At 43.6% G+C, this 21,462-nt stretch overlaps 1 protein-coding gene across 8 annotated transcripts in view, besides 12 other annotated features; it reads left to right on the forward strand.

Moving 5' to 3' along the window:
- Nucleotides 201-320: a silencer, noted in NCBI's record as "silent region_2192". NCBI's record gives its function as "represses an Ori minimal core promoter by ATAC-STARR-seq in GM12878 lymphoblastoid cells {active_cell/tissue: GM12878}" and the evidence as "EXISTENCE:reporter gene assay evidence [ECO:0000049][PMID:35858748]".
- Nucleotides 331-650: a silencer, noted in NCBI's record as "silent region_2193". NCBI's record gives its function as "represses an Ori minimal core promoter by ATAC-STARR-seq in GM12878 lymphoblastoid cells {active_cell/tissue: GM12878}" and the evidence as "EXISTENCE:reporter gene assay evidence [ECO:0000049][PMID:35858748]".
- Nucleotides 331-668: a biological region, named in NCBI's record as "ReSE screen-validated silencer GRCh37_chr10:21816390-21816548".
- Nucleotides 510-668: a silencer, noted in NCBI's record as "fragment chr10:21816390-21816548 (GRCh37/hg19 assembly coordinates)". NCBI's record gives its function as "represses an EF-1alpha promoter that drives an FKBP-Casp9 reporter gene in an ReSE screen in K562 erythroleukemia cells {active_cell/tissue: K562}" and the evidence as "EXISTENCE:reporter gene assay evidence [ECO:0000049][PMID:32094911]".
- Nucleotides 1,987-2,630: an enhancer, noted in NCBI's record as "NANOG-H3K27ac hESC enhancer chr10:21817867-21818510 (GRCh37/hg19 assembly coordinates)". NCBI's record gives its function as "activates a minimal SCP1, AML or CMV promoter by ChIP-STARR-seq in naive H9 embryonic stem cells {active_cell/tissue: H9 hESC(naive)}" and the evidence as "EXISTENCE:reporter gene assay evidence [ECO:0000049][PMID:30033119]".
- Nucleotides 6,805-21,462, forward strand: part of MLLT10 (MLLT10 histone lysine methyltransferase DOT1L cofactor) — a 209,875-nt gene continuing 195,217 nt past the window's right edge. For 4 of the 8 annotated variants that reach the window (NM_004641.4, NM_001195626.3, NM_001195627.2 and 1 more), the window contains exons 1-3: nt 7,281-7,569; nt 7,694-7,853; nt 11,882-11,961. In NM_004641.4, the coding sequence (NP_004632.1) occupies nt 7,694-7,853; nt 11,882-11,961 (240 nt within the window). In that variant the 5' untranslated portion in view covers nt 7,281-7,569. Of the gene's footprint in view, nt 6,891-7,280; nt 7,570-7,693; nt 7,854-11,881; nt 11,962-21,462 lie in introns of those variants that run through there. The other 4 variants (NM_001324297.2, NM_001324296.2, NR_136736.2 and 1 more) reach the window with 2 other exon arrangements.
- Nucleotides 6,850-7,563: an enhancer, noted in NCBI's record as "NANOG-H3K27ac-H3K4me1 hESC enhancer chr10:21822730-21823443 (GRCh37/hg19 assembly coordinates)". NCBI's record gives its function as "activates a minimal SCP1, AML or CMV promoter by ChIP-STARR-seq in primed H9 embryonic stem cells {active_cell/tissue: H9 hESC(primed)}" and the evidence as "EXISTENCE:reporter gene assay evidence [ECO:0000049][PMID:30033119]".
- Nucleotides 6,929-7,458: a silencer, noted in NCBI's record as "silent region_2194". NCBI's record gives its function as "represses an Ori minimal core promoter by ATAC-STARR-seq in GM12878 lymphoblastoid cells {active_cell/tissue: GM12878}" and the evidence as "EXISTENCE:reporter gene assay evidence [ECO:0000049][PMID:35858748]".
- Nucleotides 7,469-7,538: a silencer, noted in NCBI's record as "silent region_2195". NCBI's record gives its function as "represses an Ori minimal core promoter by ATAC-STARR-seq in GM12878 lymphoblastoid cells {active_cell/tissue: GM12878}" and the evidence as "EXISTENCE:reporter gene assay evidence [ECO:0000049][PMID:35858748]".
- Nucleotides 7,649-7,988: a silencer, noted in NCBI's record as "silent region_2196". NCBI's record gives its function as "represses an Ori minimal core promoter by ATAC-STARR-seq in GM12878 lymphoblastoid cells {active_cell/tissue: GM12878}" and the evidence as "EXISTENCE:reporter gene assay evidence [ECO:0000049][PMID:35858748]".
- Nucleotides 8,129-8,218: a silencer, noted in NCBI's record as "silent region_2197". NCBI's record gives its function as "represses an Ori minimal core promoter by ATAC-STARR-seq in GM12878 lymphoblastoid cells {active_cell/tissue: GM12878}" and the evidence as "EXISTENCE:reporter gene assay evidence [ECO:0000049][PMID:35858748]".
- Nucleotides 8,279-8,991: an enhancer, noted in NCBI's record as "H3K27ac hESC enhancer chr10:21824159-21824871 (GRCh37/hg19 assembly coordinates)". NCBI's record gives its function as "activates a minimal SCP1, AML or CMV promoter by ChIP-STARR-seq in naive H9 embryonic stem cells {active_cell/tissue: H9 hESC(naive)}" and the evidence as "EXISTENCE:reporter gene assay evidence [ECO:0000049][PMID:30033119]".
- Nucleotides 9,255-9,768: an enhancer, noted in NCBI's record as "H3K27ac-H3K4me1 hESC enhancer chr10:21825135-21825648 (GRCh37/hg19 assembly coordinates)". NCBI's record gives its function as "activates a minimal SCP1, AML or CMV promoter by ChIP-STARR-seq in naive H9 embryonic stem cells {active_cell/tissue: H9 hESC(naive)}" and the evidence as "EXISTENCE:reporter gene assay evidence [ECO:0000049][PMID:30033119]".

A 21,462-nucleotide genomic window follows, 5' to 3' on the forward strand; every position in this document is an offset into this window, starting at 1 on the left:
TTTGGGGTTTCCTGAGGAAATCTTTTCCGGAGGGAAATAGCAAATCAACATTAAGATGGAAGCGAGACTTCTCAGCCACTTTTGGAAATGAAGGGGGAAATTGTAAAAATACATTCAGAAAAGGGCGCGAAGGCGGCGGCTGAGGGGAAGAAGCTGGAGTCTTGGGAGGAAGCGCAGTGGGTTGGAATCGGGGGAAGGAGGGCCCGCTAGGTCCGGGCGGGGAAGAAGGCGTGCGGGCGGCGGGGCGTGCGCCGGGCCGGGCAGCTGGAGGAAGGCGCGGCGGGACTGGCGAGCGCGAAGAGGCAGGCGGGGAAGGCCTCGGGGGGCGGGGGCCGGGCGCGGGGCCGGCGCGCCGGAGGAAGCGGGACCTGGCTCCTCGCGCCCGCCGGGCCGCCCCCATTGTTCTGCCCTAGCACCGCTGTTAGCCGAGCACGTCCTGACCGAGGGAGGGGCCCCGCGGGCCAACCCGACCCCCGTCGGCGCCTCCCCGGGCTCCTGAGCTCCGGCCGGGTCGGGTCGGGCCGGCGCGGCAAGTTTTGATGGTCAGACTCAGCCAGCGAGGGGTTCCCAGCTGAAGACCTCGGAGGAAGGAGCCTTTACAGCGTGCTGCGAAATTGAAGGAAGCCGGGCGAGCCTGCAACGCACACGTTATGAGAAAAAGGGAAAGCAACATAGATATGTTTATAAAGTGATAAATAGATAAGAGACACCCGTGGGCAGTTATTATTCTGGATCCGGAAAGTTACAGTAGATTATATAATATTTGAAATATCTTGAAAAGTATGGATTCAAAAATCCATTTAAAAAAAGGTTCAAAGGAATTCGGAAAAGCACGTTTCGCTATCCTTATTACTGATTACTCAGCTCTTCTTTGTACACAGAAAGTCTAGTTTTAAAAGGAAAGGCTGAGCTAGCCCTTTCAAAAACGGGCTTCCTTTAACGTGAAGTGCGTTTTCAAAATAGGGAATTTCAAAAGGGAAAAACGTTTAATTTGCTTTTAAGCCACGTTTTGGAAACAAATAATTGCAATCCACTTAATAAACTCTGTCTGTTTTCCTTTGTGAGGCATATGGAAGAAATATTTCTGGCCAACGTCACAGTTGTTTTTTTTTAAATGAAGATTTCCAACAAGTGCTTGCGAGTCTTGTCGACAAGACCAAAGTCATCGTGCGTGAAAGGCCAAGAAAAAATAATTTCAATCCTGTGGTCCAAACCTTACTAGGGCAAGAGAGTAATTTCGACTTAGGTTTATGATAGACTTTGCGGAAATTCCTTCTAAAATACTCATTAGTAGTCTGTGTGTTATGAAGCACTGTTTCCCAAGGTAGATTTTAAAAAACCAATTAGAATTGATCTTTAATGGAATATTATATTTACACGTCATCATGAAAACATCATTTGACAGAGTTTTGAATTACAAGAAAGGAGTTAACAGATGATGCTCATAAATAGCATCTGTTTGAAAAGACCCCTTAAGAGTCAGTTAAAGGTAGTGATTGTTGTATTTTTGCATTTGAAATGCTGTAGAAGTTGCTTGCATTTTAACACTTTCATTTTGCGGGTCTTCTTTCTAAACTTGCATTTCCTCATGGAAATCATTCAGTTATTTCGAGATATAGGGAGAAATTCTTATGTAAGATATCATTTGAGGCGTAACTATGGAAAGGTTTGAACAGAAAAAAAAATCGCTGTTGAAAATCAAGTATTTTCAATCTATTCATTCGTTCCACACTCATCCTCCCACAGTTCCCCCCATCAATTTACATTTTTTGTTTGTCTTTGAATATTTAGAATAGCTTTACATGATTATCTGTTATGTAGTTGATAGTAGAAGGTGAATCGTTTTACATCATTCACTGTTTCAGATATTTTTTGTTTCATTTAAAGTAAAAAGATTCTTAGGAGTCATGTATTCTTGTGAGAAAAACAACAAATGGATGGAAAAAGGGCATGAATGGGGGTGGGGATGGAGAGGGACAAGTAGCATTCCTGGTCAGTCTTTGTGATACCTTTCTTTAATTTTATGTCATTATATTTTCCACTTCTGCTTGCACCAACGATCATTGCTTTTTTAATTGGGGTAAAGTGCCACCATATAAAATTTACCTACCTTCTGGCTCTCAAGCGCCGCAGTAAAATAAGGCTGACAAAAAGTGATCCGAGGCTTGTGTGTTTAATTCGCCAGGAATGTTAAGCTTCATAAGATTCACCCTATGGGGTCATGTTGGTCCTTGGCACTGTTACTATACAGTTTCAAGAGGTAAATATGCACATTATAGATTTTAAAAATCTAAGATGTACTAGACCAACAGTTTATTAATCGAAGGAATAAAAAATGAATTTGTCAACCTCATTCTTTCTGGGACACAATGCACTTAATTAACATATTCTTGGGCTTGTTTCTGGATTTGGTAAGCAGTGGCCCCTTTTGGAGAGGAAAACATTTAAATCTTAAAAAGTGATCTTCTTTGGTCCAAATAGTATTTATAAATTCAGTTTAATTTCTTCTTTTTTTTCAGTCTAAGATATGTTGCATTTCTTTCAAGGTTCTCTTCCATTTCAAAAACTGATTTTCCTCTTTTCCACGTCCAGAATCTTTTCACTCAGATAATCTTATGTGGCCTATAAACAGACACCTAAATATGTCACTTTAATCACACTTTAATTATAACAGAGATGCAGATCTTCAGTGTCAGTAAAAAATGAGAACATGGACCTTACAATACACACTATATTGATGATACTCTGAAAAGTCAAAATATAACACCTTTCAGTATTGCTGCATCATGGAAAAAAATAGTTCAACTCTGAATCGTTAACGAGGTTTAGGTAACACCTAGAATGCCTAAAGGCATCTTTTAGATAGCATTTTTATATTGATAATTGCATGCTGTTTTACTCAAAAAATGTAAATACAGCCATTTGATATCAATTTTATAGCAAAAGAAATAGCTCCGAGGCCAAACACGATTAACCAAACCAAACCTTTCAAATATTAGACCTCGATTCTTAAAAAGATTTTTATTTAGATTACACAAAATTTAAATTTCAGAATTATCTACCAAACTTTCAGAAAATTAAAGTGTATCTAAAAACAATATTAATTATAATTGATTCTAAGTTGGAGATTGTTTTGTAATAAAATGATGACTGTTACATGAAAAGGTGGTAAACATTTGAGGGCTATTTAGAATAGTCAAGTCTAAACTACCTGGTAAATAAAAACTGATATTAATTTCAACTATTGAAAATCTTCAGATAAATCAATTCACCTGAAAATTTTTGTTAATCATTACTTACAAATATTAGTTCAATTGTACATACAAAATAAAATCTTGCTTTACTTTGAAGAATAAAGCTCAGAGTGTAATTAGCTTTTAAACACCAATTGAGGACATTAAACAAACATTTACTCTAGACCTACTATGTGCAAGACACTTGCTAGGTGTGATGGTGAGTAAAAAATAATCACCTAGTAAGATTAACAAGTTTCATTAAATAGATTTTTGAAAAAGCCATTAACAGAATCTCAATTCAAAACATAATTGCAAAGAATATTTTTATATGAAATTTCGAATAGTACTCCATGATATAGGTGCCATGGTGGTTTTGTATCTATAAAGACACGATACTCATTTATGGTGACATATTAATAACAAAGCTAGTTTCAGAAACACTTCAGTATTTTAATCATACTAGCATAAATATATGGCTCATAATAAACTTTTAATGAAAAAGGTAAAAACTCTTGGGTACCAAATGAGCAAAACAAAAAACAGAGATTCCTCTATGTAAAAGAGGATATATCTGAAAGTCTGCACAGATCATAAGAGAGTGTCTTTTTGAGTTTTTCAACTAATTTATTTAGAAAGAAGTTGATAGACTCCAATGAGGTTTAGCAGATGCAGGAATTCTAATTGCTTTTTGCTTAAAAAACTTAGTCGAAGAGCCAATATAGAATTTTACACACTATGGAAGTCAAGAATCTGAGTTCAGGAAAGTGTATCTAGTCTCAGCATTATAGAAGTATACCTCACATGGATGTAGAAATAGACCTCAGTTTCTATACCCCATTGTAGAAATTTATATATACCTTGACAATGGGTACAATAGACTAAATATAATATGCGCAAACAGAAGGCAAATAAAACTTTAATTTACAAAGGAGATAAATATGAATAGTACTAACCTCTGAAATGAATATGGTTTTAAATATTTCTTTCATAATATCTACTTATGTAAATAATTATGGAAAAGCAAATACAGAAATTTGGTGCCTACCTTAAAGAATAAAGAAAATTATTGGAAGATATATTACCCATAGAGCGAAAATACATCTTCCCATTATAGTAGGGTTAGAGGTTACATCATAAAATACTTTACTTGAGTTTTTTGTGGTTTGCCTCAGATGATTAGTTTGGAGAAACAGATGAGCTAGTACTGAGTTAGCTGCTGTTATGTGAAGCAATGTTTAGAGACAACAGGGTTTCATTTTATTCTAGAGGTACTACATACACTTTTTTGAAGGATATTTTGAGAATATAAAATAAAAATTTAGGGTAACATTTTACAGTTGAAATTGTTCTTTTTCACAAAGTTATTTTATAACTCCTATGGTAATTTATTTTTATATTGCTATGTATTTTAAAAAGCATACTTGAACTTTAACAATTCTGCCAATGTAATTACAAGTTTTATCCATTTTGAGGTAGGAAAATTAGCATATTCAGCCAATTGTTACATATATGACTATATATATATATATATATATATATATATATATATGTCTCACAAAGGACAAATACAACTTTCTCACTGCTATATTCCCCATATCCAAAACAGTCCCCAGTACACAGTAAATGTTGAATAAATATTTACTGAATGAATAATTAATTGTGTATTTGAACTGTTTTACTGTTTTATACTGTCTGCTTTTCTTCCTTTTCACTTAACATTTTATAGAAATATACAAAATATTATACTTCAGATATACAAGAAAAAGTTTGATATCTGGTACAAGTTAAAATGAAAATGAGTTATTTACACTCATGTTTTTTCTTATAATTTTCATACTCAACATATGTTAAAATCAGTTTTAAATAATTTGAATTATATTTTGTGAACACTTATGTATACATCTTTAACAAAATTTGTTTCAGATACTATTGTTTATATACAGGCTGTTATGAAATAATACATTTTCCCTATTTTTAAAAATTTCTGAAACCTCTTACAAATGATACATTTTTTTTGTTTTGTTTAGGAAATAGCAAGTGTTTACTTACATTTGTTTTAAGTGTTAAAGAATAGGGCAAGGTACCCATCCTTCTTTACATACAAATTAATTCCTTCACAAGAACTAAGCTCCAATGCATTAAAAATAAAACAAATGTGTTTTTAAATAATTTAATGCATTAAGGCTTGGCTGCAGTGTTTGGGAGGGGAAGTTTCACACTGATTTTTAACTCAGAATTGCTCTATAGTAAGAGTCTGAACAGGACTTGGATATTGAGCTGGTATCCTTTGTATAAGGGTGAAGATAAAATATATGGTTAAGATACACAAGACAGTATAGTTTTGTTTGAAGCCCGTTTTAGTTTCATAAATTTTTAAGGTAGTTAAAAAATATAATTATTATATATCCAGAAATGTATTAATTGTTGTCACATCCCAAAAAAGAATTCATATTATGTAGTCTTGTAGTCACCTTTTCTAAATGCACTATGTGAATTCTCATTGTTTTAGTGTATATTTTAATTGCCATTACTTTGTATATCTCAGCTTTTAAAACATCTGAATTTGCTATATATGCTCTCATTGTGCTGTATACCTATTATCACTCTTACACAGATTTCTAGCAATTAATTTGAAATAGAAAAACAGCCATGATACCTTTTCTAACCCCCCTTTATCAGAAGAACATTTAGAAGGCTTTTAAAGCCCAAACCATTATATTATCTTTTGGCGACCGACTAGGAGAACTTGGGTTCTCTATGCTTTAGCACTGTGAAAGTGCATCTTCCAGATCAGCACATTTATAATGCGAATTGCTGATAAAGAACCATTTTGTACCTGCAAGGTATTAATCAAAAGTCATGAATTCGCCTTTTAACTGGGCTTGTCATTTAAACAATCTATGCATAATTCTGATTTCATGCGAAACTTTTCTAATTAGACATTTTTTGCTTAAACATCAATATTGGGCTTTACGGATGCATAAGGAATAGGCAGACAGTGGAAGATTTTAGTTTAAAAGTGCTCAGCATCCAGCTAATTAATCTATGCAGATAGGCCTAATCCATTTTCCATTTGTTTGTGAGGTGGGAGCTCTCATCTTTCTGCCACTTTTAAATGACCTCACATTTCCAAGTATAAATTTGGAGAAAAGACCCGGATCAGAGGAATCCTCCATCAAAACTGGACGCCACTGTCTGATGGCGTTAATTATGTTTTAGCGACTGACTAGGAGGGCTAGAGTTCCTTCTTCCTTTTGGTGTAATACAACTGCATTTTCCGGATCATCGTATTATATTGCTAATTCCGGATAAACCACCATTTGTCCTGCACACCGAGCTGAGGGGCGCCTTGGCGTTCCCTCTCCGAGTGCAGCCCTAACACAGGCTTTTGACCTTCAGCCTGGAATACACTTTCGTTTGTCATTGGGGCCCACGTAGTGCGAAAATGGGCGGCAGATTTGGTAGGACTTCCAGCGGGTGAACTTTGGGAAGAGTCCAGGACGTGAATTTAATGGGTGGAGTGGCTGCGGCAGCACTGTGAAGTTAGCGCGGCCAACTGCAGGAAGCCATGCTTCATTACACCCTTCATGGAAGCTGGCACACTCGCCCCACCCTCGTTTTCCACGGGCCAGTCTTGGAGGAAAAGGCCAGCAGGTAGGTTCCCAGGGCACGGAGATGATGCCCCCGGGGACTCCCCTCTGGCGATTCTGAGAAAACCCCTTCCCAGCCCTGGGCGTCCACCTCCCCCGCCACCTCCCAGGCCTCTTCCCGACGCTCACACGCGGCCCGCGCCACCAGCGCTGCAGAGGGCGGCCCTAACGTCCCCGCCCCCGCGTGCGCGCCCCCGCGCCCGTTCATTCCGGCCTCCGCGCGCCGCCGGCTCCCCTCGCGCCCACCCCCAGCACACCTCGGCGGCGGCGAGCGGCGCGGGGGAGGGGGACGGGGCCCCGGAGGTAGGCCGGGGGCAGCCAACAGGCCGCGGCAGCGCGCACGCAGGGCTAGCCTCGCCCAGGCCTCCTCCCTCACGCCGGCCGCAGGACGGGCGCGCACGCCAAGTGACGCTCCGAGGAGGAAGCGCAGCCCCCTTCCCCTCCCTCGCTGCCCCTGGCCCAGCGGGAGCCCCCCCTCCCCCCAGTGCGCCTGTGCGGAGGCCCTCTTGATTATGTGTGCCCTCTCCGGGCGCCCGCGTTAGCGGCCGGGTGGAGGTGGGGAGGGAAGACGCTGAGGAGGAGGAGGAGGCGGAGGAGGCGGTGGAGGGGAGGTGGGGGGAATCAGCAAGGACATGGCTCCTGACTCCTGTGCGGAACGTGAGTGACTGAGCGGCAAAGCCCGAGTGAGCGAGCGGTGGGCTGCCGGGCCGGGCGGGGGGCGCCGGGGCGGGCTCGGGGGGCTGTGTGGGGGGGAAGCACTAATCGGCTTGCATGTGTTTTTTAATGGTCCCCCCAACTCCCTCTTAGATGGTCTCTAGCGACCGGCCCGTGTCACTGGAGGACGAGGTCTCCCATAGTATGAAGGAGATGATTGGAGGCTGTTGCGTTTGCTCAGACGAGAGAGGCTGGGCCGAGAACCCGCTGGTTTATTGCGACGGGCACGGCTGCAGCGTCGCGGTGCATCAAGGTAAACACCCAACCGCCCGCCGGGGCGCGCCGGCCTGCGCCCAACGGTCACCGCCGCCCCCACCTGGGCCGCAACCGCCGGCGCCCCCGCCCCGTGCCGCGGCCGCGGGAGGGACGCGGAGGGTCCGCGGCGGGGCGCGGGGGGTGTGGGCCGCGCATGTGGGAGAAAGTGCGTGTGGCCCGGACTGTCATGTGATTCCGCTCTCACTCTCTCAAGTGTCATTCGGCCGCCGCCTGCGCCTGGGGCCGGGGTCTGCTGACTCGGCGGGGCGGGGCGGGGCAGGGCGGCGGCCGCGCCCTCGAGATCTGGGCCGGGGTGGGGGCGGGGGCGGGGGCGGGGGCGGTGCGCGCCCTTCCCGGGGTTCCCGGGGCCACGGGGGTGGGTTTGGGAGAGTGGAGCGCCCTCTTCTCCCCTGGCCTGCAGCCGCCTGTCTGCCGCAGTGTTTGGAGACTTCCTGTGGCGTGGAGACGGGCTCGGGAACGCGGCGCCAGTGTGGGGAGGCTGGGGGTCGCCTTGCCTCTTTAGATGGGGAGGGATGCGGGGCCCGTTGCACCCCGAGCCAGAAGGCTCGGGCCCTGCCGCCGCCGCCCGGTAGCTGTCTGCGGAGGAGATGGCGGAGTCCGTTGCTGACCATGCGGGAGTGGCGGGGCTGCTGCAGCGCCTGTGGGGTGGCCGCGGCAGGCCACCACCAGCCTAGGTGGCTGAAGAGGTGGCGGTGCCAAGTCACTTTTGGGGAGCCTCTTAGTTTATTTCTGGTTGTTAACAATTGATGAGGTTTTTGGATATACAAGAAGGCCGAGGACACTAGTAAGATACTTTTCTGGCCTTTGAAGTGGCCGACTTTTCCCCATTTCACGTGGTAAGGAATCCAGGACAAAACAGTCTATATTCTTTTTTGGTGGCTCCATGTCCCTTCGCATTTCTGAATCTGGCATTAAGCGATGCATATGTTTTTAGTAGTCTGTTGGAAAGGACTACCACCAAAAGGGAGACGAAAATTTGAACATCTGCTAAAGTGCATTTTGTAGAGAAACGAATGTCACACTTGGAAAGGGAGACTTTAGAAGCAGTGGTGATGATTCTGAGGTAGTGTACTTACTCTGAGAATGCTGTTTATTCCCAGACTTTTATTTTTTTACTTTTTATTTTGTTGAGACGGAGTCTTGCTCTGTCACCCAGGCTGTAGTGCAGTGGTGCCATCTCAGCTTACTGCAACCTCTGCCTCCTGGGTTCAAGCGATTGATTCTCCTGCCTCAGCTTCTTGAGTAGCTGGGATAACAAGCACACCCTAGCACACCGGCTAATTTGTATTTTTTAGTAGAGACGGGGTTTCGCCATGTTGGCCAGGCTGGTCTCAAATTCCTGACCTCAGGTGATCCTCTTGCCTCGGCCTCCCAAAGTGCTGGGATTACCGGCGTCAGCCACTGCGCCTGGCCCTAGACTTTTAAAGAAGAGCCAAGTTGCATGTCTTGCTTTTTTAGGGAGTGAATACAATGCGTGTCAAACCAGATACTGATTTTAAGGTCATCCCATGTTCATTGGCATTTTGAAGGCCAATGAATTTCTTATGAATTGGAATTTCTTATGAATTGGATGATAAACTATCAAAATTTGATAATTTCTATGTCCCAATATAGAAAATTTTTATTCAAATCTTAAATTTTCCTTCCTAGAAGTACACCTGAATAAAGTTTTTGGGCAATGATGCTGTGTTTTGGACACCTATGCTGTGTTTTTTGACGGATAGAGCATTTATAGTGAGACACATTTTACAAATTCTGTTTTTTTGAGACAGGGTCTCACTTTGTGGCTCAGGCTGGCATGCAGGGTGCTATTACAGCTCACTGCAGCCTTGACCTTCCAAGCCATCTTCCCACTTCAGCCTTCCCAGTAGCTGGGACCACAGGCCTGGACAACCATGTCGGGCTAATTTTGTATTTTTGGTAGAGGTGGGATTTCACCAGGTTGCCCAGGTTGGTCTTGACTTTTTTTTTTTTGAGACAGAGTTTTGCTCTTGTTGCTCAGGCTGGAGTGCAATGGTGCCATCTCGGCTCACCGCAACCTCTGCATCCAGGTTCAAGTGATTCTCCTACCTCAGCCTCCCGAGTAGCTGGGATTGCAGGCATGGACCACCATGCCCTGCTAATTTTTGTATTTTTTTTAGTAGAGATGGGGTTTCTCCATGTTGGTCAGGCTGGTCTTGAACCCCTGACCCCAGGGTGATCTGCCTGCCTTGGCCTTCCAAACTGCTGGGATTACAGGTGTGAGTCATTGCACCTGGCCTGGTCTCGAACTTTTGAGCTCAAGGGATCTGCCCGCCTTAGCCTCATAAAGTGCTGGGATTACAGGCATGAGCTGCCTTGCCTGGTCCTACAAATGTTTAACTGGAAGTGGAAGTTTAGCTTTTGGAGTTTTAAAAAGTTATACTGAATTTATATTCTGCTGTGATTGTACAGTGGGTAGTACTCTGTTTTGTGAATTTATATTCTTTCTTTCTTTATATATTTTTTTGAGGCGGAGACTCCCTCTGTCGCCCAGGCTGGAATGCAGTGGGGCAATCTCGGCTCACTGCAGCCTCTACCTCCCGGGTTCATGTGATTCTCCTGCCTCAGCCTCCTGAGTAGCTGGGACTACAGGCACTACCACCACACCTGGCTAATTTCTTTTTTTCTTTTTTGAGATGGAGTTTTGCTCTTCTTGTCCAGGCTGGAGTGCAGTGGCGTGATCTCGGCTCAGTGAAACCTTCGCCACCCAAGTTCAAGTGATTCTCCTGCCTCAGCCTCCCAAGTAGCTGGGGTTACAGGCACCTGCCACCATGCCCAGCTAATTTTTAAAAAAATTTTTAGTAGAGATGGGGTTTCACCATCTTGGCCAGGCTGGTCTGGAACTCCTGACCTCAGGTGATCCTCCTGCCTCGGCCTGCCAAAGTGCTGGGATTACAGGCATGAGCCACCGCGTCCGACCTGAATTTATATTCTTTAAATGCTTTCCAATATTTAAGATATTTTCATATTTCTGCCTAGCAAGCTCATGCAGAAGTCTACTTGGTTATTAGTGTTTTTAGAGTTTTAGAAAATTTTCAGTTTTGAGCTAATTATTAACTTTAAAAACCAATTTTAAAACAAGACTGTGATTAGATATGTGATGTATAATTAAATCATTTGGAGCATTCACATCATTATGTATTTAGAAATAAACATACCTTTTTTTTTTTGAGATAGGGTCTCCCTCTGTTGCCCAGGCTGGAGCACAGTGGTGTGATTATGGCTCACTGCAGCCTTGACTTCCCAGGCTCAAGTCAGCCTCCTGAGTAGCTGGGACTGTAGGCACATGCCACCGTGCCCAGCTAATTTTTTTTTTTTTTTTTTTTTAAATTTGAGACGGAGTTTCACTCTTATTGCCCAGGCTGGAGTGCAATGGTGCGATCTTACCTCACTGCAACCTCTGCCTCCCAGGTTCAAGCGATTCTCCTGCCGCAGCCTCCTGAGTAGTAGGATTACAGGCATGTGCCACCACGCCTGGCTAATTTTGTATTTTTAGTAGGGACAGGGTTTCTTCATGTTGGTCAGGCTGGTCTTGAACTCCCAACCTCAGGTGATCCGCCTGTCTCAGCCTCCCAAAGTGCTGGGATTATAGGTGTGAGCCACTGCGCCTGGCCTAATTAAAAAAAATTTTTTTTTTTTGTGGAGATGGAGTCTCACTGTATTGCCTAGACTGTTCTGGAACTCCTGGGCTCCAGCAGCCCTCCCAACTCGACCTCCCAAAATGCTGGGATTACAGGCATGAACCATTGCACCCAGCCTTGATTTATTTAGATGAGGTAACACAAAAGAGTTGCATTTAAAATTTTTACTTGTTAATTAAGTAAGCTGTATATGTGATAAATAGGATGTGAACTGTTTTACTTCTCTGTAAAGAGGTAGTTTACTTGAATAGTGACAGGTGGATTAATAGGGCTTTGAAAGGGTATTTGATTTTTCCATAGTTCTTCGAATCTTAACATTTTAACACATTTCATTTTTCAACAGCTTGCTATGGCATTGTTCAAGTACCCACTGGACCGTGGTTTTGCAGGAAATGTGAATCTCAGGAGAGAGCAGCCAGAGTGGTAAGGACTATTTATCAAAAACATTAAACTTTAGTGAGTAGGTTAGGAAATTAGGAACTGCACTCCTGTTGTGGTTTGTGGGGTTGTCAGTCATTTCTTCAAATATCATAATGTAAGAGATAATTTAGGCCAAATATTGACTTGGAGTATTAAACAGATTTTGTAAAACTGAAAAACAAATGGAATCAAGTGAGTATATTTTGGATACTTTGAAAACAAAAATACATAGTCATATTTGGGCTTTGTTAACTAGTTACAGAATCAAGAAAGCTTGAAGAAGTTTGAAGGTTACACTGGCTAATCATAGTTAAAATATAATGGAAATAGAAACATAAGGAAGTTACATTGATAATTCTCTTAGGTTTTGTGTAATGGGAAAAAAACCCAATAATTTTAGTGACTATCATATTCCTTTTACTACATCTTTGGGTGTATAGTTTAACTTCGAACACTCACTGATTTCAGGCATTCAGTCCCTTTGGCAAACCAACATAAAAATCTTTTTTTTTTTTTTTTTTTTAACTTGGGTGGTTACCTTATTTCAGAACTTTTCTAAACCTCTTATAAGAATGAAGGAGGTGCCGGGTGCAGTGGTTCACACCTGTAATCCCAGCACTTTGGGAGGCCGAGGCGGGAGTATCTCGAGGTCAAAAGATGGAGACCACCCTGGCCAACATGGTGAAACCCCGTCTCTACTACAAATACAAAAATTAGCTGGGTGTGGCAAGCACCTGTAGTCCCAGCTACTTAGGAGGCTGAAGCAGGAGAATTACTTGAACCCGGGAGGTAGAGGTTGCAGTGAGCTGAGATGGTGCCATTGCACTCCAGCTTGGGCAATAAGAGTGAAACTCTGTCTCAAAAAAAAGAAAAACAAATTACAAACATTAGCTGGGCGTGGTGGCACGCCCTATAATCCCAGCTATTTGGGAGGCTGAGGCAGGAGAATGGCGTGAACCTGGGAGGCGGAGGTTGCAGTGAGCTGAGATCATGCCATTGCACTCCAACCTGGGTGACAGAGCAAGACTCTCAGGAAAGGAAAAAAAAAAACAAAAAGGAGGTAGGCCGGGTGCAGTGACTCACACCTGTAATCCCACCACTTTGGGAAGCCGAGGCAGGAGGATTGCTTGAGTCCAGGAGTTTGAAACCAGCCTGGTCAACTTAGTCTCTACAAAAGAAAAATTTTAAAAATTAGTTGGGGCTGGGCACAGTGGCTCATGCCTATAATTCCAGCACTTTGGTAGGCTGAGGTGGGCGGATCACTTGGGGTCAGGAGTTTGAGACCAGCCTGGCCGACATGGTGAAACCTATCTCTGCTAAAAATACAAAAAATTAACTGGATGTGGCAGCGCGTGCCTATAGTCTAGCTACTCTGGGGGCTAAGACGGGAGAATCGCTTGAATGAGGGAGCCAGAGGTTGCAGTGAGCCAAGATTGTGCCACTGCACTCCAGCCTGCACTCCAAACAGAGTGAGACTGTTTCAAAAAAAAAAAAAAATTAGTTGGGCGTGGTGGCTTGCACCTGTACTCCCAGCTACTCTGGAAGCTGAGACAGGAGGATTGCTTGAACCTGGGAGGTTGAGGCTGCAGTGAACCATGACTCCAGCCTGGGTGACAGAGTGAGAGACTGTCTCACAAAAAACACAGTGAGGGAGGTATGTTTATCCTTTGTATCCACAAGCATTTTTCCCATTTGGATTTCTGAAAATATCAGAAATAGATTTTATTTTCATTAGTTATGCAAACCTACCATTTAAAATATGATAGTTCCTTTTTAAAATCTTATTATATTTATTGATTTATTATTTATTCCAAGACATCTTGTTATAGCAAATTCCTTTCCCTTGGTGTTGATTATGGAATTAGACTGAAGGTAGAGAACAAACATTTTAGCTTCTTTACCTAGGCATATAGCAAAAGCAGAAGCTTTTGTGTTTGCCTGGGCAATTTTTGAGCGGTAGAAATAATGGGCTGGGTGCTGTGGCTCGTGCTTGTAATCCTTGCACTGTGGGAGGCCAAAGTGGGTGGATGACCTGAGGTCAGGAGTTTGAGACCAGCCTGAGCAACATGGCGAAACCCCACCTCTACTAAAAATACAAAAATTAGCTGGGTGTGGTGGTGTGCACCTGTAATGCCAGCCACTTGGGAGACTGAGGCAGGAGAATCGCTTGGACCTGGGAGGCAGAGGTTCCAGTGAGCTGAGGTTGCGCCACTGCACTCCAGCCTGGGCGACAGAGCGAGACTCGTCTCACAAAAAAAGAAAGAAATAATGGTTGAGTAACCTATAAAAATGTGTTGAGTCTCAGAACTATTTGTATTTTATTATTTTGAGACAGTCTTGCTCTGTTCCCCAGGCTGGAGTGGAGTGGCGCAATCATTGCTCACTGCAGCCTTGAAGTCCTGAGCTCAAGAGATCCTCCTGCCGCAGCTTCCTGAGTAGCTGGGACTTACAGGCCTGTAGCACTTAACACCCAGCTAATTTTTTAATTTTATTTTTGAGACAGTCTCGCTCTGTCGCCCTGGCCGGAGTGAAGTAGCGCCATCTCCGCTCACTGCAACCTCTGCCTCCTGGATTCAAACGATTCTCCTGCCTCAGTCTCCCATGTATCTGGGACTACAGACATGCGCCACCACACCCAGCTAATTTTTGTACTTTTAGTAGAGATGGGGTTTCACCATGTTGGCCAGGCTGGTCTCGATCTCCTGACCTCAGGTGATCTGCCTGCTTTGGCCTCCCGAAGTACTGGGATTACAGGCGTGAGCTACCACGCCCGGCCTGAATTTTACTAGAAATGAGGTCTTGCTTTGTTGACCAGCCTCGTCTGGAATTCCTGAGCTCAAGCAGTCCTCCTACCTCAGCCTCCCAAAGTGGTGGGATTACAGGTGTGAGCATCCGTGCCCGGCCAGAGCAATTTTTTTATAGTTCCGATGATATGTTTTGGTTGTGTGTGAGAATGCACTTTAATAGAATTACAGCTGTTATTCTAGTGTGATTTAGCAAATGGAGGATAAAATCAATCATAGAAAGTTTGGGACTTGGTGAAATCTTTATAGCGTTACTCTTTGACTTTTTTTTCTTTGTATCATGTTACGGTTTGTGGTGAATAGGTCACTACGCAGTGGAACGTATGGTTTATTAGTAAACACTGACAATGAGATGAGGCTGTTCCTGGGGGTGTCACAGTAGATTGAAGGCTGGAAAAGATAGGAAAATAAGGTGGGTATTCAGAGAGAGAAGATAATGAATAGGGAGTGTCAGAATGCCAGCATCATTTGCCTCAAATGCCACTTGTTACGTGCTTCCACTCTTTTATTCTCTCTGAGGACATGGTCAAAGTGTCAGTGTGAATAAGGTAGTTAACTTAAAAGGTGTATTAGGGCTGGGCATGGTGGCTCAAGCCTGTAATCCCAGCACTTTGGGAGGCTCAGGTAGGCAGATCACATGAGGTCAGGAGTTCGAGACCAGCCTGGCTAACATCTTAAAACCCCGTTTCTTCTAAAAATACAAAAAATTAGCCGGGCGTGGTAGTGAGCGCCTGTAATCCCAGCTACTCGGGAGACTGAAGCAGGAGATCCGCCCGAACCCGGGAGGCAGAGGTTGCAGTGAGCTGAGATCGTGCCATTGCACTCCATCTTGGGCAATGAGTGAAACTCTGTCTCAAAAAAATATATATATATTAGATGCTGCTGGGAGCAGTGGCTTGCGCCTATAATCCCAGTGCTTTGAGAGGCCGAGGTGAGAGGATCACGCCTGAGTTGGAGATCAGGCCACAAGTTGGAGATCAGCCTGGACAACATAGTGAGACCTTATCTCTACAAAAAGAAAAAAAAAATTAACCACATGTGGTGGTGTACTTGTCCTAGCTACGTGGGAGGCCGAGGCAGGAGGATCCATTGAGCCTGTGAGTTTGAGGTTGCAATGAGCTATAGTCACACTACTGCACACTAGTCCAGGTGACAAAGTGAAACCCTCTTTAAGAAAAAGAAGTTTTTGCAGGGGGGCATTTTATTTTAACATCATTTGGTGGGATGTGGGTGACATTAAGGTTTTTTTTTTGTTTTTTTTTTGAGACGAAATTTTGCTGTGTTGCCCAGGCTGGAGTGCAATGGCGCGATCTCGGCTCACTGCAGCATCCGCCTCCCGGGTTCAAGTGATTCTCCTGCCTCAGCCTCCGGAGTAGCTGAGATTACAGACACCATGCCCGGCTAGTTTTTTGTTTTTCTTTTTTGAGATGGAGTTTCGTTCTTGTTGCCTAGGCTAGAGTGCAATGGCACAATCTTGGCTCACCACAACCTCCACCTCCTGGATTCAAGCGATTTTCCTGCCTCAGTCTCCCCAGTAGCTGGGGTTACAGACATGCGTCACCATGCCCGGCTAATTTTTGTATTTTTAGTAGAGACAGGGCTTCTCCATTTTGGCCAGGCTGGTCTCGAACTCCTGACCTCAGGTGATCCACCCGCCTCAGCCTCCCAAAGTGCTGGGTTTACAGGCGTGAGCCATGTTGCCTGGCCAAGGATTTTTAAAGAAGAGGCAAAAGCAAAACCTTTTTAAAATTATATTTAAAAATATATATTATGTTTTTTTGGAGACAGAGTTTAATTCTTGTTGCCCAGGCTTGGAGTGCAGTGGCATCATCTTGGCTCACTGCAACCTCCGCCTCCCGGGTTCAAGCGATTCTCCTGCCTCAGCCTCCGGAGTAGCTGGGATTACAGGTGTGTGCCACCACGCCCAGCTAAGTTTTGTATTTTTAGTAGAGATGGGGTTTCTTCATGTTGGTCAGACTGATCTCGAACTGCTGACCTCCGGTGATCTGCCCACCTTGGCCTCCCAAAGTGCTGGGATTACCATTGTGAGCCACTATGCCCGGTCTGTAGTGTATAATTATGAAAGGCAGGGTCCTTTGTAAGAAACAGATAAGCAAAGAAAGGGCATTGTATTATAAGGACACAGGAGTCAAGAACCCTAACATGGAAATGTATTTCACCCAGAAAGGGAATTGAATTAGTCTTATGAATCTTTTTTCTACTTTTGTCTGCATGCCTGCTTCCATTCTTTTCTTTCTGCCGACTTACTGTGCTACTTGTTCCAAAATGAGTAGCTAACTTTTTGAGTGTTTACTATGTGCCCACATACTGTGCTAAATGTTTTATGCCAGTTACTTCATTTAAGCATCCTGTCACATCTATGAGGTGGATATTATTCTTACTTTATGGGTAAGGATACTATAGTTTTAAGAGAGATAGATGTTTTATGACAGTCTGGGATGTGATTAAGCTCTTAACCACTGTGTTACCTCTTAACCACCATGTTGCCTCCTATGGTGAAAGATGACGATACCTCAGCTCCTGATATTTTCCATCTCCTGTCTCAAAAGCGAGTAAATTCAGTCCCAATCTCATGTTCCTTTGAGAAGACAATAAAACAAAAGCCCAACTTTGGTTTGGCTTGGATGAGATACCTAGCACTGGACCGTTTTGCTATGGTGAGACAATAGGGTCAAGTTGCTCAGACACAGGAAGAACTCTCTGGACTGGGGATAGCTAACTTCTCAGGGAAGGGGGATTATGACCTGGCAGTACCCTGACAGATACCGAACAGTAAAGATTCAGAAAAGTAAAGGAGCATTTTCAGAAAATTTAGGTACTATATAGAATGAACTTGAAAGGGAAGGTTAGAGATGGACTTAGGATGCTATTACTATAAAGATGTGGGAATACAAAAGGAGTAGAAAAGAAGGGAGCATTTTGAAGTATGAAATGACAGAAATGGATGTTAGGTAAAGGGAAGGGAATAATCAAAGATGATTCTTAGATATCAAGGTGCTCACTCATTAATGGTGATACCATTAATAAATATTAGAGCAGTTGTAGTAGAGGAAGGAGAGCAAGTGAAGACTAAAGAAAGACCTGTTTTGGGCATGTTGGTTTTGATGCTGCTAAAATTTTTGTATTGGAGGCCGGGCGCTGTGTCTTATGCCTGTAATCCCAGGACTTCGGGAGGCCGAGGCGGGCGGATCACCTGAGATCGGGAGTTTGAGACCAGCCTGACCAACATGGAGAAACTCCGTCTGTACTAAAAATACAAAATTAGCCGGGTGTGGTGGCACATGCCTGTAATCCCAGCTACTAGGGAGGCTGAGGCAGGAGAATTGCTTGAACCTGGGAGATGGAGGTTGTGGTGAGCCGAGATCGCGCTATTGCACTCCAGCCTGGACAACAAGAGTGAAGCTCCATCTCAGAAAAAAAAAAGATTTTTGTATTGGAAATTTAGGATACAGTTACAGAGTGAAGTCAGAGTTGAAGCTGCATAGAGGGAAAACAGGGAACCACATGCCTTTTTTTTTTTTGCTAGAGAAGAGAAATGTTCACATTTGGGAGAGTAAGAGAACTGATTATCAAGGATTGATAGTGAACTGTCAGGAAAAGAACCTAAAAAGTACAGTCGCCACAGAGACAACTAGGTGTTCAGGAAAGAAAAGTTGATAGTGACAGTACTGCCAGGAACGCTGAAGGACTAAGAAAAGTTTTTGAGACAGCTAATACAGCTTCCTGGTTTGGGTAGAACCCTGGTTGTAGGGCATGGAAGATAGAGGATTTGATTGTTGTGTGGAAAGTATAAGGAAAGAGAAAAATTAAAGGAGATGAGGTTGAGGAAAGTTTGGTTTTTAAGGGAAGTTCTTTGTAGATAGACATTGATTGTTTAGAAAAAGCACCGTGTCTCCCAAAACAAAAAAATTAAACACACTTTCTCATGACTATTTTTGTATGTATGTATTTAGAGACAGGGTCTCGCTTTTTGCCCACGCTGGAATCAGTGGTGCGATTTTAGTTGACTGCAACATCGAACTCTGGGGCTCAAGGAATCCTCTCACTTCAGTCTCCTGAGTAGCTAGGACTATAGGTGCATACCACTATGTCCGGCTAATTTTAAAATTTTTGGTAAAGATAAGGTCTTGTTATGTTGCCCAGGCTGGTCTCGAACACCTGGCTTTAAGAGATCCTCCCGTGTTGTCCTCCTAAAGTGTTGGGATTTCAGGCGTGAGCCACCATGCCTGGCCTATTTTTTATTTAGTGAGCATTTGTTCTGAATTACTGCAGGCTGCAGTGACTTATTAGAAATTTATCTACTTACATAATTTTGATGAGATACAGAAGAATTTTTAAAAATTAAATTTAATTAATTTTTTTTGAGACAGTCTTGCTCCATCGCCCAGGCTGGAGTGCAGTGGTGTGATCTCGGCTCACTGCAACCTCTGCCTCCTGGGTTCCAGTGATTCTTGTGTTTCAGCCTCCTGAATAGCTGGGATTACAGGCATGTGCCACGATGCTTGGCTAGTTTTTGTATTTTTAGTAGAAACTGGGTTTCACAATGTTGCTCAGGCTGGTCTTGAACTCCTGGGCTCTAGTAGTCCCTCCTGCCTTGGCCTCCCAAAGTGCTGAGATTACAGGTGTGAGTGACCGTATCTGGCCAGAGAGGACATTTTAGATTGTAAATATTCTACTTTTTTTTTTTTGAGATGGAGTCTCACTCTGTGGCCCAGGCTGGAGTGCAGTGGTGTGATCTCCGCTTACTGCAACCTCCGCCTCCCAGGTTCAAGCGATTCTCCTGCCTCAGCCTCCCGAGTAGCTGAGACTGCAGGCACGCCCCACCACTCCTGGCTAATTTGTTTTTTTTTTTTTTGAGACAGGGTCTCTGTCGCCCAGGCTGGAGTGCAGTGGCGCAGTCTCAGCTCACTGCAGCCTCTGCCTCCTGGGTTCAAGTGATTCTCCTCCCTCAGCCTCCCGAGTAGCTGGGCTTGCAGGTGCCCGCCACTGTGCCTGGCTAATTTTTTTTTTTTTGAGATAGAGTTTTGCTCTTTCCCAGGCTGGAGTGTAATGGTGCAATCTTGGCTCACCACAACTTCCGCTTCCCGGGTTCAAGCGATTGTCCTGCCTCAGCCTCCCAAGTAGCTGGGATTACAGGCATGCGCCACCACACCTGGCTGATTTTGTATAGTAGAGACGGGGTTTCTCCATGTTGGTCAGGCTGGTCTCGAACTCCCGACCTCAGGTGATCCACGTGCCTCAGCGTCCCAAAGTCCTGGGATTACAGGCGTGAACTCCCATGCCCGGCCCTAATCCTGGCTAATTTTTGTATTTTTAGTAGAAATGGGGTTTTACCATGTTGGCCAGGCTGGTCTCAAACTCCTGACCTCAGGTAATCCTCCTGCCTTGGCCTCCCAAAGTGCTGGGATTACAGGTGTGAGCCACCCCGCCTGACCCCTTCATTCTTTTATTTTTTTTAATTCTCTGCTGATTTGGAGGTCATATGCTCTATTTCTTTTATTTTAGTGATTGCACTTAAAGTTTTAACATGCATACTTAATGTTTTTCTGAGTCTTAATATCTGTACTCCGTTTGAACAAAACAAAGGTCCTTGGGACGCCTTGATTCCTTTGGTTCTTTTTCCCTCGCACAATCTATGTTATTGTTGTCTTTATTACTCTGCTGTTTTCTTTTTTTTTTTTTTTTAAGATAGGGTCTCACTGTGTTGCCCAGGCTGGTCTGGAACTCTTGGGCTCATGTGATCCTCTCACCTTAGCCTTCTAAGTAGCTGGAATTACTCCATCTGTTTTTTTCTTTTTTTTTTTTGGTGATAGAGTCTCACTGTCACCCAGGCTGGAGTGCAGTAGTGTGATCTCGGCTCACTGCAACCTCCGCCTTTCATGTTCAAGTGATTCTCATGGGTTCAGCGATTCTCATGCCTCAGCCTCTTGAGTAGCTGGGACTACAGGCACATGCCACCTTGTCCGGCTAATTTTTGTATTTTTAATAGAGATGGGGTTTCACCATGTTGGCCAGGCTGTTCTTGAACTCCTGACCTCAGGTAATGTTCCTGCTTTGGCCTCCCAAAGTGCTGGTATTACAGGCGTGAGCCACTGTGCGTCTTATTTTGAATCTTCTAAATAATCGTGTGTTTTAAAAAAATAGTTATTTATAATTAGGCTTAATATTACTCATGTTTTTGTTCAATCTAGCCTTTTATTTTCCTTGTTTGTGGGTTCATTTTTTTTACTTTGAAGGTTTTGGTATTTTTTTCTCAGGGTCTGAGGCTAGTAAGTAATAAGTAAGAAAGTTATATTAGTCTTTTTGTGTCTACGAATTTCATTATTTTGCTCTCTTGGAAGCTAGTTTGAATCCTTTGATAATAGCTATTTTCCTGTAACTAAAGATTTTATTCTAGTTTGTCTTCTGGTGTCTGTTGGTTGATAAACAATCTTTTGAGTTTGTTTATCCTGTTTGAGACTTGGTCTGCTTTTTCATTCTGAGGACTCAGTGTCCTTCCATTTTTTATTTTCTACTCTGTCTCTTCAAATACTGTAACCTTCTCATTAACTTTTCTTTTCCTAGAACTGTTAGGTATATGTTTGGGATTTTCATTCTGTTTTTCATGTCTTTTAATTTGTCTTTCATATTTTCTATCTTATCTTTTTTTTTTTTTTTGAGACGGAGCCTCTGTTGCCCA

Source organism: Homo sapiens, chromosome 10 (genome assembly GCF_000001405.40).
Source record: "Homo sapiens chromosome 10, GRCh38.p14 Primary Assembly".
NCBI lineage: Eukaryota > Metazoa > Chordata > Mammalia > Primates > Hominidae > Homo > Homo sapiens.